Source organism: Homo sapiens, chromosome 1 (genome assembly GCF_000001405.40).
Source record: "Homo sapiens chromosome 1, GRCh38.p14 Primary Assembly".
Lineage (NCBI taxonomy): Eukaryota > Metazoa > Chordata > Mammalia > Primates > Hominidae > Homo > Homo sapiens.
Window position 1 is genome coordinate 226,029,456 of NC_000001.11, and position 15,096 is coordinate 226,044,551.

Sequence of the window (15,096 nt, forward strand, 5' to 3'; positions counted from 1 at the left end):
TCAATCTAGACTAGACAGATTGGCTGGCGCTATCACTTGGAAAGAAAGGAGTTTACTCCTCTTTGATGTCCTCCTTTGTGTCTGGAAGCAATCAATATAAAATTTATTTAGCCTTATCTTCTGTAACAAACCAAAGAGGGGAAAGTGTCCCAGAGAAGGCCGCGGGCACTTACTCACCCTTATTAATTCCATGTAACAACTGAGAGGCACTTTGAGCCTCTTAACCAAAAGCTTCACATCTTCAGATGCCAAGCCTCCAGCAGCAGGGCCACATGGCTCAAGCAGACAGGGAGCAGACTGGAAGTAGGCTGGAAGCCAACCTGAGCACAGCACCATGTCTCCAGGACCAGGCGGCACAGAAACTTGAGGCCACCTGTTCATCCACTGTATTTTTACCTATTTTTAAAATGTTCAACTCTCAGGGCTGGTGTTAGATGCTTATGATGCCACCAGGTAAGCCCACAGGTGCCAAAACATTATGTGCTTCTGCTTTGATATTCTCTGATGGATATTGCTGGCCCCAGCTCCCCTCTGGTACTTGGGGGGAAGTGGAAGAAGAAGAAAGATGAGCTGGTTGTTCTTGCTGCTGTTTCTCCACGATGAGACAGAATGAAAACCCTCTTTGGTTCCCTTCTGAATCCACCATCTGAGGACCAAGATATTCTCGGCTTGAATGAAATCAAAGTGGTTTAAATTAAAACTAATTATATCTGCTTTTAGAAACTGTAGGAATAGGCCAGGTGCGGTAGCTCACGCCTGTATTCCCAGCACTTTGGGAGGCCGAGACAGGCAGATCACCTGAGCTCAAGAGTTCAAGACCAGTCTGGGCAACATGGTGAAACCCCGTCTCTACTAAAAATACAAAAATTAGCCAGGCGTGGTGGTGCGTGCCCATAGTCCCAGCTACTCAGGAGGCTGAGTCAGGAAAATCGCTCAAACCCAAGAGGCAGAGGTTGCAGTGAACTGAGATAGCGCCACTGCACTCCAGCCTGGGCGACAGAGCGAGACTCTGTCTCAACAACAACCAAAAAACAATAGGAACAACCAATGGTTTTGAAAATACACCTTATCTATTAAAAGCATAAAAACATGAATGAGAAAGAAATACATTGAAATTCTTGTTGCTAGTTCCTCTGAAGAGGGAGAGAGAACAGAAGTGGAGGAGAAGGGAAATACTGTTCAAGTGGATTTTAACCACATCTGTTTTATGTTTGATTTCTTTTAAACGTAAAACGAAATTTGAAATAAATATGGCAGAAAGTTAACATGTGTTAATATTGTTAATTCTGGGTTATGACTACATAGGTGCTTGATATGTTGTTCTCTGTATTTCGTTATACTGAACGTTCTCACAATAAAAATATATTTACAAATGTTTTATGTTACAACTATGACTGAACGCTAAAAACAATGAGGTACATGGACTGTGAGAATGTGTAGGAGTCCTGAGGTTGGGAAGTGTGGCCAGGGGCAGTTCCCTAAGAAGAAACTGAGGGGGTGTCAGGAGGGCTTTGTATGCCCAGAGTGTATTAGGCTTCTCCAGAGAGACAGAGAATCAATAGGAGAAAGAGAGAGATGGATGGATGGATAGATAGATGACAGAGATGAGAGATGATTTATTATAGATGATAGATAGATAGATAGATAGATAGATAGATAGATAGATAGATAGAAGATAAGATTTATTTTTCATTTTTTTTTTTTTTGAGACAGTCTCACTCTGTCACCCAGGCTGGAGTGCAGTGGCACGATCTCAGCTCGCTGCAAATTCTGCCTCCCAGGTTCAAGCGATTCTCCTGCCTCAGCCTCCCGAGTAGCTGGGATTACAGGTGCCTGCCGTCACGCAGGCTAATTTTTGTAGTTAGTAGAGATGGGGTTTCACCATGTTGGCCAGGTTGCTCTCAAACTCCTGACCACAGGTGATCCGCCCGCCTTGGCCTCCCAAAGTGCTAGGATTACAGGTGTGAGCCACCGCGCCCAGCCGAGAGAAGATTTATTATAGGAATTGGCTCACATGATTATGGAGGCTGAGAAGTCTCACTATATGCTGTCTGCAAGCTAGAGAACCAGGGAATCTGACAGTGTAATTCTGAGTCCAAAGCAAGAGGCCTGAGAAACAGACTGGCTGCTGGTGCAAGTTCCAGGGTCCAAAGAACCAGAGAACCTGGAGTTCTGACATCCAAGGGCAGGAGAAGAGGGTGTCCCAGTTTCAGGAGTGAGAAAGTGAGAATTTGCCTGTCTTATACCTTTTGGTTCTATTCAGGCCGTCAAAGGATTGGATGGTGCCCAGCCACATTGGGTGAGAGTGGATTTTCTTTACTCAGTCCACTGATTCAAATGCCCATCTCTTATGGAAATACCCTCACCAACATACCCAGAAATAATGCTTCACCAGCTCAGTATCCCTTAATCCAGTCAAGTTGATGCCTAAAATTAACCATCACACAGGGATTGCCCTGTTACTGAGTGACACAGCTGGGAAACTATTTTGGAAGCTGAGATGGCAGGGACTTGGACTGGAGTAGTCATAGTGGTGGATACAGAGAGAAATTGATGAGTTTAACAGAAATTGAGGAAGTAGGCCTGGCACCATGGCTCACACCTGTAATCCCAGCACTTTGGGAAGCCGAGACGGGTGGTTCACCTGAGATCAGGAGTTTGAGACCAGCCTGGCCAACATGAAGAAACCACATCTCCATTAAGAATGCAAAAAAAAAAAAAAAAAAAGAAAGAAAAACTTGGCTGGGTGTGGTGGTGCATGCCTGTAATCCCAGCTACCTGGGAGGCTGAGGCATGAGAATGGCTTAAACCCAGGAGGAGGAAGTTGCAGGGAGCCGAGATCATGCCACTGCACTCCAGCCTGGGTGACAGAGCAAAACTCCATCTAAAAAAAAAAAAACAACAACAACAAAAACAAAACAAAACAAAACAAAAACCCATAAGAAATTGAGGAAGTAAAATTGCAGGACTTGGTGACGGATTGTATACAGGGAAGGAGAGAAGGGAACCAGTCTGGGGCCATCATATTTGGCTTGCCTACATAGATGGATGATGGCACCATCTTGACCTATGGAATGCTCAAAGAAGCCTGGGTCTGGCAGGGAGAATCATGAGTTTGGTTTTCGACTTACTGATTTTGAGGTATCTTGGAGACATTCAAGGAAAAACAGGGTACAATTAACAAGATAGTGGCAATAGGTGCTGGGCAGCCCAAAACTGCTGGTCACTTCTACTTACTAATCGCTGGAGGGCTGAAGTCTGGCTGCCTCTTCTGTGCCCTGCCTCTGTGACATGTCCAAATTGCTACGTTCAGGTTTAGGATGCAAAAAATCTGCTTTATTACACTGTGAGGAATCTTAGGATATTACCTATCTATAGCTGGGAAATTTAACCATTCCCAGGTTAGTCACATTTGACTAACTTGTTGAAGATGGTGTCTGATTCTTCATTTTCCTCCCCAGACCTGCTAGACTCTTTTTCTCATTTCTAGTCTTTGCTGATTTCAGGTTTCTTTTAGTTGGATGCCATGTATAAATAACCCTAAACTCAGCTTGTAAGTGCTTTTTTTCTCTGCTACCCAAAATTAATATAGATTCCTATTACCTTAGGTTAGGTTGTCCCAGAATCACACCTTAAGGCAGGATTTGAGTGCGACTAGTTTTGTTCTGTATATTTCGTTTTGTTTCATTTTTTTAAATTGTGGAAAATACATGTAACATACAATTTACCATCTTAATAAGTTGTTTTTTTTGTTTGGTTTTTTTTTTTTTTTTTTTTTTTGAGATGCAGTTTCGCTCTGTCACCCAGGCTGGAGTACAGTAGCATGATCTTGGCTCACTGAAACCTCTGCCTCCCGTGTTCAAGCGATTCTCCTGCCTCAGCCTCCTGAGTAGCTGAGATTACAGGCATGTGCCACCACACCCCGCTAATTTTTGTATTTTTAGTACAGACGGGGTTTCACCATGTTGGTCAGGCTGGTCTCGAACTCCTGACTTGATGATCTGCCCGCCTAGGCCTCTCAAAGTGCTGGGATTACAGGCGTGAGCTGTCGTGCCCGGCCCCATCTTAATAAGTGTTAGTGTCCAATTCAGTGATATTAAACACATTCACAATGTTGTGCAGTCATCACCATCATCCATCTCTATAACACTTTTCATCCTGTAAAACTGAACCGTATACCTTAAACCAAATAACTCCCCATTCCCTCCTTCCCCTACCCCCTAGCAATCACTCTACTTTCTGTTTCTAGATTCAACTAGTTTGTTTAAGAGGTGATTGCGGGAAGACTAGAGTGGGGAAGTAAGGCAGGAAAGGGAAGGAAGCCAAGAAAAGGAACATTATTAAGCAAGTTGCTTCTGTGTAACTGCAGCTGGGGTTCAGTCCTACTGGGGACCCTGGGAGACAGTGCAGAACATGCCTCTGAGCTTTCCTACCCAAGAGGTGAGGAAGATGGGGAGCCTCCGGTTTCCATCCATCATTGGCTGAGGCCTGCTCGTAGGGTCAGTAACCCTTCAGCATGTCTGTGTCTCAGGTGGAAGGAAAACTGTCAGGTGAAGAATCCCAGGTGCTTGCAGTAGGACAGCCACTGGAATGTACTGGAATGCTGAATGACAAGGGGATATGGATCCCAAAAGAATTTCTGAGCTCCCTTTAAGGAACAGACTCTAAAGTGGTCCCCATGATCTCCACCTCCTAGTAACTCACACCTTTGTATAATCATATAATTCCCTCCCTTTGAGTGTGGGTGGGTCCAGTGACTGCTTCTTTTTTTTTCTTGTTTTTTTCTTTCTTTTTTTTTTTTTTTTTTTTTTTTTTTTTTTAAAGAGATGGGGTCTCACTGTGTTGCCTTGGCTAGAGTGCAGTTGCTGTTCACAGATGCAATTATAGCCCACTACAGCCTCTAACTCCTGGGCTCAAGCAATCCTTTTGCCTCAGCCTCCCAATCTAAGACTACTTCTAACCAACAGAATATGGCAAAGGTGATGGGCTGTTAGTCTGTGATTAGATTACATTATATACAATTCTACCCCACTAGCTCTGTTCCTCCCTTAGTGGCTTTGAGGAAGCAAGCTGCTATTTTGTAAGAGGACCTATCAAGAGGTCCACATGGCCAGGAACTGTGAGCAGCCTCATAGAGCTAAGGGCAGCTAACAGTCAGCAAAAATCCAGGCCCTTGGTCTTACAGCAGCAAGGAACCAAATTCTGCCAACAACCCGAATGAGTTTGGCAGCAGATCTGTCACTAGTCAGGCCTCCAGATGGAGCTGAGCCACGGCCGACACCATGATGACAGCCTTGCGGCCTGCACTATGCCCAGGCCCCTGACTCACAGGGTGTGGGATAATAAAGGGAAGTTGTTTTAAACTAGTGCATTTGTCGTAATACGTTATGCAGCATAGGAAACAAATATGCTCCCTTATCCTATAAGCCTCCAATCTGAGCAAGATGGCCTCAGCCCTTCTGCTTTTTCTTCTGATAACCTTTACTCCATGTCCGCTAATGAGCAATTCTTTTTTATCTTATTTTATTTTATTTATTTTATTTTTTTAAGACAGGGTCTCTGTCTGTTGCCCAGGCTGGAGTGCACTGGCATGATCATAGCTCACTGCAGCCTCGACCCTGGCTCAAGTGATCGTCCAACCACAGCTTCCCGAGTAGCTGGCACCACAGGTGTGTGCCACCACACCCGGATTTTTATAGGTTTTTTTCTTTTCTTTCTTTGTTTTTTTTTTTGTAGATGCGGGGTCTCACTATGTTCCCCAGGCTGGTTATGAACTCCTGGCCTCAAACGATCCACCTCGGCCTCCCGAAGTGTTGGGATTACAGGTGTGAACCACCACGCCCGGCAGCAATTCTTAGGGTTTAAATAAACGTATTGCTTTTTTCTCTTATTAGGAAAGTAAGACATATTCATTGTAAGGCATATAATATATATAAGCAAAAAAAGGAAAAAAAACAACCAATGCTGTTCATCTAACTTTTTGTTAGGTAAGTTCAGACTTTCTTCTGGAGAGTTCTCTCTGTCTTTAAGTTCTATATTCTCTTTGATCCCTACTATGAAAGAACTTTTACCCAAATATAAATGTATAATTAGAAAAGATTGTATTTATATGGCTTGTTCTTGACCTTTTCCAAAGAGGTGTACACTGAAAATGCCCATATAATTGAGAAAGGCATTATTCCCAGGGGGAAAATTTCCATGGACATAGTAAAGCCATTATCCAGCTTTGTTCAGAGGGATTCTCATCCTACCTGAGGAGGAAAGAGGTGCCAAGCATTTGGGACCATTGAGTCCAAACTTCTTTTGAGTAAATAAAGGGCTTTTGCATTTAGCATGTAGGTGCTGAATTCAGCAAAGGAGGCACAGCAGAGACAGAGGAGCTCTCTGTATCTTCCTTCACCTTTTTACTTCCCTCTTTGCCTGTGGGCAGCAGTGAAAGAAGAATCTCCTGCTGGCTCTAAGACTCCCAGGGAATAGCCCCAAGGTTTTTCCCTCTTCCTTTCTCACTTTCCTTCTTTCTGCTGCTCACAGAGCAGTTCCAATTCTACCAATTCTACCATGATGTAGTCTCCATGAGGCCTCTTGCCAATAGGAAAAACTCCTCCCCTTCCTACTGCACTTGTGCTCCTTTCTGGAGCATCACTGGGTGTTTTCAGTTCACCCAAGTGTTCATTTAACAAACACCAGGTAGGCCGGGTGCAGTGGCTCATGCCTGTAATCCCAGCACTTTGGGAGACGGAGGCGGGTGGATCACAAAGTCAGGAGTTCAAGACTAGTCTGGCCAACATGGTGAAACCCCGTGTCTACTAAAAATACAAAATTTATCTGGGTGTGGTGGCTCAATTTTTTTGAGACGGAGTTTCACTGTTGTTGCCCAGGCTGGAGTGCAGTGGCACGATCTCGGCTCACTGCAACCTCCGCCTCTCGGGTTCAAGTGATTCTCCTGCCTCAGCCTCCCAAATAGCTAGGATTACAGGCATGTGCCACTGAGCCCAGCTAATTTTTGTATTTTTAGTAGAGACAGGTTTCACCATGTTGGCCAGGCTGGTCTCGAACTCCTGACCTCAAGTGATCCACCCACCTTGGCCTCCCAAAGTGCTGGGAATAGAGGTGTGAGCCACTGTGCCAGGCCAATTTACATGCAATTATAAGAGACAGTACAATCCTGTCTCTATAAAAAAGAAAATAATTAGCCAAGCATGGTGGTACATGCCTGTAGCCCTAGCTACTTGGGAGGCTGAGATAGGAAGATCACTTGAGCCTGGGAGGTTGAGGCTTCAGTGGGCTGTGATCACACCACTGCACTCCAGTTTGGGTGACAGAGCAAGACCCTATCTCAAAAAAAAAAAAAAAAAAAAGGGAGATAATATAGAATCACAATGTCTTACAATTTCACACTTACTAGGATGGCTGTAATTAAAAAAAAAAAAAAACCAGACAATAACAAATGTTGGTAAGGATGTGGAGAAATCAGACCCCTCAGACATTGCTTATGGAAATGCAAAACAGTGCCACCCCTTTGAAAAAAGCTTGGTGATTCCTTAGAAAGTTAAACACAGAGGGCCGGGCACGATGGCTCACGCCTGTAATCCCAGCACTTTGGGAGGCCAAGGCAGGTGGATCACGACGTCAGGAGTTCGAGACCAGCCTGACCAACACGGTGAAACCCCGTCTCTACTAAAAATACAAAAATTAGCTGGGCGTGGTGGCGTGCACCTGTAATCCCAGCTACTCAGGCCTCAGGCTGAGGCAGGAGAATCGCTTGAACCCGGGAGGCAGAGGTTGTAGTGAGCCGAGATCACGCCACTGCACTCCAGCCTGGGCGACAGAGTGAGACTCCATCTCAAAAAAAAAAAAAAAAGAAAAAGAAAGTTAAACATACAGTTACTATATGACTCCGCAATTCCACTCCTAGGTATAAATACCTAAGAGAATTAAAAACACATGTTCACACAAAAACTAGTACATGAATGTCCACAGCAGCATTATTCATAGTAGCCAAGAAGTAGAAACAACCCAAATGTCCATCAACTTATGAATATGATAAATAAAATGCAGAAGTAGACCCATACAATGAAGTATTATTTGGCTGTAAAAAGAAATGAAGTGCAGACACATTTTATAAAATATTAATAGATGGATTTTGAAAACCTTGTGCTAAGTGACAGAAGCCAGACACAAGGCCACATATTGTATGATTCCATTAATATGAAATATCTAGAGTAGGCAAATCCAGAGACAGAAAGTAGATTAGTGGCTGCCAGGAGCTGGGGGAGAGGGGAACAGGGAGTAACTAATAATGGATACAGGGTTTCTTTTGGGGGTGATGAAGAGGTTCTAAAATTAGATAGTGCTGAAGTTGCACAACTTTGTAAATATGTTAAAAACCACTAAATTTTACACATTAAAAAGGTAAATATTACGTGAATTTTATCTCAATAAAATTTATTGAAAAAAGAAATATGCAGAGAGATCCTGCGTACCCTTCACCCATTTCCCCCCAATGGTAACATCTTATATAACTATTGTACAATATCACAGCCAGGAAACTGACATTGATAGAACCCTTCGCCATTACTCAGATGTCATCAATTTTTAGTTTTTTAGTATTTAGTTCTTTTTTTTTTTGAGATGGAGTCTCACTCTGCTGCCCATGCTGGAGTGCAGTGGCGCGATCTCGGCTCACTGCAACCTCCACCTCCAGGGTTCAAGTGATTCTCCAGCCTCAGTCTCCTGCGTAGCTGGGATTACAGGCATGTGCCATCACACTCAGCTAATTTTAGTATTTTTAGTAGAGATGGGGTTTCACCATGTTGGCCAGGCTGGTCTTGAACTTCTGACCTCAAGTGATATGCCTGCCTCAGCCTCCCAAAGTGCTGGGATTACAGGCATGAGCCACCATACCCAGCCACTCATGTGTGTGTATTTGGTTCTAAGCAAGTTTACATGTGTGGATTCACGTGACCACCACCAAACTCAAGATGAAGAACAGTTCCACCACACAGACCCCTTATGCTACCTTTTTATGGCCACAGTCACTCTTCCCTTCTACCTGACCCCTGATCTGTTTTCTATCTCTATACATTTATTGTTTCAAGAATATTATCTAAAACGAATCACACAGTATGCAACTTGAGATTGGCTTTTTTCACTCAGCAAAATTCTCTGGAGATCCATCCAGATCGTCATGTGTATCAATAATTCCTTCCCTTTTATTGCTGAGTAGTATTCCATGGTATGAATGTACCATAGTTTATTGAACCTTCCACCATTAAAGGACATTTCAGTTGTTTCCAGTTTGGGGCAATTAGGAATAAAGCTATTGTGAACAGTTATGACCAGGAACATAAAAACTTTCATTTCTCTGGGTAGATGCCCAGGAGTGTAATTGCTGCATCATATGGCAGGTGCATATTTAATATTGTAAGAAGCAGTCATATTCTTTGCTAGAGTGGCCATGCCATTTTATTTTCCTACTGGCAATATGTGAGTGATCAAAGTTCTCTCTATCCTCACCAGCATTTAATGGTGTCATTATTTTTTATTTCAGTCATTCGGATCATACATATACTTTTTACAAGTTAGACAAACATGCACCATACTCTTGACAGCGGTGGTTTCTAGTGTATGTATGGGTTAATTCAATGGAAGACTCTCCTTTATATATTATATACTTTTGTAGTTTTTTGTTTTTGTTTTTGTTTTTTTTTGACAGAGTCTTACTCTGTCACCCAGGCTGGAGTGCAGTGGCACGATCTCGGCTCATTGCAAGCTCCACCTCCCGGGTTCACGCCATTCTCCTGCCTCAGCCTCCCGAGTAGCTGGGACTACAGGCACCCGCCACCACGCCCAGCTAATTTTTTGTATTTTTAGTAGAGACGGGGTTTCACCGTGTTAGCCAGGATGGTCTCAATCTCCTGACCTCGTGATCCGCCCACCTTGGCCTCCCAAAGTGCTGGGATTACAGGTGTGAACCACTGCGCCTTTTTTTTTTTTTTTTTTTTTGCGACAGAGTCTTGCTCTGTCACCCAGAGTGGAGTGCAGTGGCACAATTCGGCTCACTGCAACCTCCGCCTCCCGGATTCAAGCGATTCTCCTGCCTCAGCTCCCGAGTAGCTGGGATTACAGGCATCTGCCACCATGCCTGGCTAATATTTTTAGTAGAGACGGGGTTTCACCATGTTGGCCAGGCTGGTCTCGAACTCCTGACCTCTGGTGATCCGCCTGCCTAGGCCTCCCAAAGTGCTAGGGGCATGAGCCACCACGACCGGCCTGTAGTGTTCAAATTTTACATAACTTAATGTTGTACTTGTAATCTAAAACGCAATAAGGATTTTAAAAAGTTGGCCAGGCACAGTGGCTCACGCCTGTAATCCCAGCACTTTGGGAGGCTGAGGCAGGCGGATCACCTGAGGTCAGGAGTTTGAGACCAGTCTGGTCAACATGGTGAAACCCCGTCTCTACTAAAAGAACAAAAATTAGCCAGGCATGGTGGTGCATGCCTGTAATCCCAGCTACTCGGGAGGCTGAGGCAGGAGAATCACTTGAACCTGGGAGATGGAGGTTGCAGTGAGCCGAGATGGCACCATTGCACTCCAGCCTGGGCGACAGTGAGATTTCGTCTCCAGAAAAAAAAAAATTGTTCTTCTGCATCAATTTTTTTTTTTTTTGAAGACAGAGTCTCACCCTATTGCCCAGGCTGGAGTGCAGTGGTGCAATGTCAGCTCACTGCAACCTCCGCCTCCTGGGTTAAATTAATTCTCCCTGCCTCATTCTCCTGAGTAGCTGGGATTACAGGCACCCGCCACCACACTCAGCTAATTTTTGTATTTTTAGTAGAGATGGGGTTTGGCCATAATCCCAGGAGAATTGCTTGATCCTGGGAGGCGGAGGTTGCAGTGAGCTGAGATCGTGCCATGGCACTCCAGCCTAAGCGACAGAGCAAGACTCCGTCTCAATAAATAAATAAATAAATAAATAAATAAATAAATAAATAAAGTTAATAGGTAGTAAGGAAGTGGAGACGATTATTAGAAACTATTCTGTAGATTAATTGTCCCTGGAAGGAAGGGGAGATGTGGGTCAGCAGAGGAGAGAAGACAGCATTCTAACAGAGAAGGGGAGGCTGAGCACACAGGACGGGGAAGCCATGCGCTGGCTATGCTCCGTGTACCCAAGACCCTCACTTCTCCACAACTGCTCCGTGTTCCAGGAGACTCCATCAGGCAGCCTCCACTGCCCTCCAGCTTCCAGGAGCCTCTGCACCACGGATGGGCAGGAGAGAGAGCGGCAAGGCTTGTTGCTGTCAAATACAACTCTACTCCACCTCACTCCCAGGCCCCCACTCTCCACAGAGCCCACTTGTGCCAGGCCCCAGGGTCACCGTTTACCCCCCTTGTGGGTCCTTGCTATTGCCTGTGCCCACACACCCTGTCCTGTTCTGCTTACACCCTGTGGGTGGGCTCTTCATCGAACCCTGCTTAAACTCTGACGGTGCTCGGCAGCCCAAGTTTTGAGTGCACCACCTCTCTTCTGCCAGGACCCTGATGGGTGCATCTAACGAGGCAACCCCCAAAACAGTCAGGAGGGACCTAGATCAAGAGCTAAAGCAAGGGCAGACCCAGTTCTCTGAGACAGGAGGAAGGCAGCAGAATGGTCTGACAAAGATGTCTGCAGGCAGGAGGGTCTGCAGAATTCATACCTAATTCCCTCAGTTTTCTTGGTGAACCAGGGGGTGGTGACTTGTGCTAGGCACCCAAACTAGAGACCAATCACTCCTTTTCACAAACATTTTATAAAGAATAGTCTTGTTCTCTTCTAATGAAGAAAGAGTTTTCTCTGCTCTTTTAGTTAGGCTGCTGAGCACTGCTGGGTTTTATTATCACGAAGCTAATGAGGGGTTAAGGATGTTGACTAGAGCCAGACTGTCTAGTTTGAGTCCTCATTATTGCTATTTTGTGACCTTGGACAAGTCACTTAGTCTCCATGCCTCAGCTTTCTCATCTGTAAGATAGGAGTGATAATAGGATTTGTTTCATAGGTTTCAAGAGGATTAAAGGATTTCACACATGTAAAAACACTTAGAACAGTGCCCAGTCCACAATATGCACTCAGTAAACGTTAGCTATTACTGCTGAAGAGAGAGGCAGCAGGAGGGTAACTTGAGCAAGTGGAAGAGCCAGGGCAGGAAACAAACAGGACTTAAGCAAAGACAGGTGAAAAGTGCTGAGAGAAGACAGAGAGCTCAGATAGCCCAGCAGAGGTTGAAGCAATGCATTTCATTCATTCAAACACTGTCTTGAGTGCTCACTATGTGGCAGGAATTGCACTAGGGGCTAGAACCACAGCAGTGAATAAAACAGAGTTTCAATCCATGCAGACAGGGATATGAACAGTAGTGGGGTCCAGTCTTCTGGCTGCTGTTTCTCCAGGTGCTCGGCAGCCCAGGGACGGGGTGGCTGGACTGCTCCCCGGGTAAGGACAAGATGCTGCTCCGGGCAAGGTGAGGGGTTACAATGAACAGGTATCCACTTGAGCTAGCTCAGGTCAGAGAGGGTGGGGCCAGCAGTGGGCATTACTAGGACACAGCAGGCAATCTTGGATTGCTGGATTCAAAGAGCAGGAAACAGGGCGAAAGGATGCGCCTTAGGGGACCACGGTGGGACAGAAAAGGAGGCTCCCCTCTGCTTTCTGTACTTCAGGTTCCTTCAGCTCCACCTCTCTCCACTCATCTCTCCTGAGCAGTGTCTTCTGCCTAGCTTTCTCTTAAAAGGCATCTCTCAGCCGGGCGCAGTGGCTCACACCTGTAATCCCAGCACTTTGGGAGGCCAAGGTGGGTGGATCATGAGATCAGGAGCTCGAGACCAGCCTGACCAACATGGTGAAACCCTGTCTTTACTAAAAATACAAAAATTAGCCTGGCATGGTGGTGCGTGCCTGTAATCCCAGCTACTTGGGAGGCTGAAGCAGGAGAATTGCTTGAACCCGGTAGGTGGAGGTTGCAGTGAGCCGAGATCGTGCCACTGCACTCCAGCCTGGGCGACAGAGTAAGACTCTGTCAAAAAAAAAAAAAAGGCATCTCTCTGTCCCTCTTATCCACAGAATGATGGCAGACCTGAGTGAAAGTGTTCAAGGGAGGGCATCTAGGGCACAGTTTATCCAGTGGACTGGCTGGTCTCAGGACCAGATCCCCAACCCTGGTCCATCAGCAGTGGGCAGGGCATACACCTTAGCAAACTCATTGCAAAATTAGTATTCCTATAAAATAAGTTGCATTTCCACTCTCATGTAACATTATCAAAGTAGAAATGGACACTTTGGTTGATTTCACTGAGGGATTTTTTTTTACTTCATCACAACTTCCTCTGTCCACATCCGGTGTCCTTTGTCATCCTCTGCAGAGTCCCCAGTTTTCAGATTTGCACAAGTGATGATGGTTTACAAATGACTTGACTCTGTGGCCAGAGGAAGTTCTGATGGAACAAAATCTCAATGTAGTGTTGTGCCCGTCTTTTTCTTTTTTTTTTTTTTTGAGATGGAGTCTCACTCTGTCACCCAGGCTGGAATGCAATGGTGCAAAATTGGTTCACTGCAACCTCTACCTCCTGGGTTCAAGTGATTCTCCTGCCTCAGCCTCCCGAGTAGCTGGGATTACAGGCACATACCACCACGCCTGGCTATTTTTTTGTATTTTTAGTAGAGACGGGTTTCACCATGTTGGCCAGGCTGGTCTCAAACTCCTGACCTCAAGTGATCCACCCGCCTTGGCCTCCCAAAGTGCTGGGATTACAGGCATGAGCCATCCACTGTGCCTGGCCATGTGCCGGTCTTGTCTCAGTAATGGCAGTCAAGTGTAGGTCAAGAGAGGAAGCATAATGTGAGTTACTTTAGGCCAGGATCAGTCTGTGCCAGAGATGGAGGGAAATCATCTTCCCCAAATCCCTGGCCTTACATGGGTGCCATTAACCGTCTCAAGTGTTGGATGGGCCTTGGCAGCCTGAAGGCCAACAGCCCCATGTGAGGGGCTGAGCTCCCACTGACCTGCCCACCTTCTCCAGGAAGTTCTTCCTCTGGAACTAATCACAAATAAGTATCTCCTACAAGAAAGGTGTATTTTTTTGCTGCCATAACAAAGGGCAACAGCCTGGATAGCTTAAACAACAGAAATGTATTGTCTCGCATTCTGGAGGCTGGAAGTCTGAAATCAAGGTGTCAGAAGGGCTGCTTGGTCCTCAGAGAGCTGTAAGGGAATCTGTCTGTGGCCTCTCTCTTTGGCTGGTAGGTAGCCGTCTTCTCCCTGTGTCTCTTTGCACCATCTTTCCTCTATGCATGTCTGTCAAATTTCTCCCTTGGATAAGAACACCAGTCTTTATACAATATTGTTTAGAAAAAAAAAAAAAGAACACCAGTCATATTGGATTAGGGGCCCACCCTATTCCAGTATGACCTCATTTTAACTAATTACATCTGTAATGACCCTATTTCTTATTTTTTTTAAATAACTAATTACATCTGTAATGACCTATTTCTCCTTCCTTCCTTCCTTCCTTCCTCTTTCTTTTTTTTTTTTGACAGAGTCTCACTCTGTCACCCAGGCTGGAGTGCTGTGGCACAATCTTGGCTCACTACAACCTCCACCTACTAGGTTCAGGCAATTCTCGTGCCTCAGCCTCCCAAGTAGCTGGGATTACAGGCACGCACCACCATGTCTGGCTAATTTTTGTGTATTTTGCAAAGATGGGGTTTTGCCATGTTGCTCAGGCCAGTCTCAAACTCCTGAGCTCTAGCAATCCTCCTGCCTTGGCCTCCCAAAGTGCTGGAATTATAGGCATGAACCACTGCACTTGTCCTGTAATGACCCTATTTCTAAATCACGTCACATTCTGAAGTGCTATGGGTTAGAACTTTAACATGTGAATTTTGGGAGGATGAAATTCAACTCATTTCATAGGGATTTGACTCTGATCTCTGATGGGATGAAGCCTGAGGGCCATCTAATTGTACATGAAGGAATGATGCTTAGGAAATATGTGGAAAAGATTGAAATAACTCAAGAACCCATCAGAATAAGTACCGTTGCTTTGTATTTCTGGCAGC

General features: G+C 45.2%; 1 annotated feature.

The window, feature by feature from the left end:
- Positions 743-792: an enhancer, noted in NCBI's record as "active region_2644". NCBI's record gives its function as "activates an Ori minimal core promoter by ATAC-STARR-seq in GM12878 lymphoblastoid cells {active_cell/tissue: GM12878}" and the evidence as "EXISTENCE:reporter gene assay evidence [ECO:0000049][PMID:35858748]".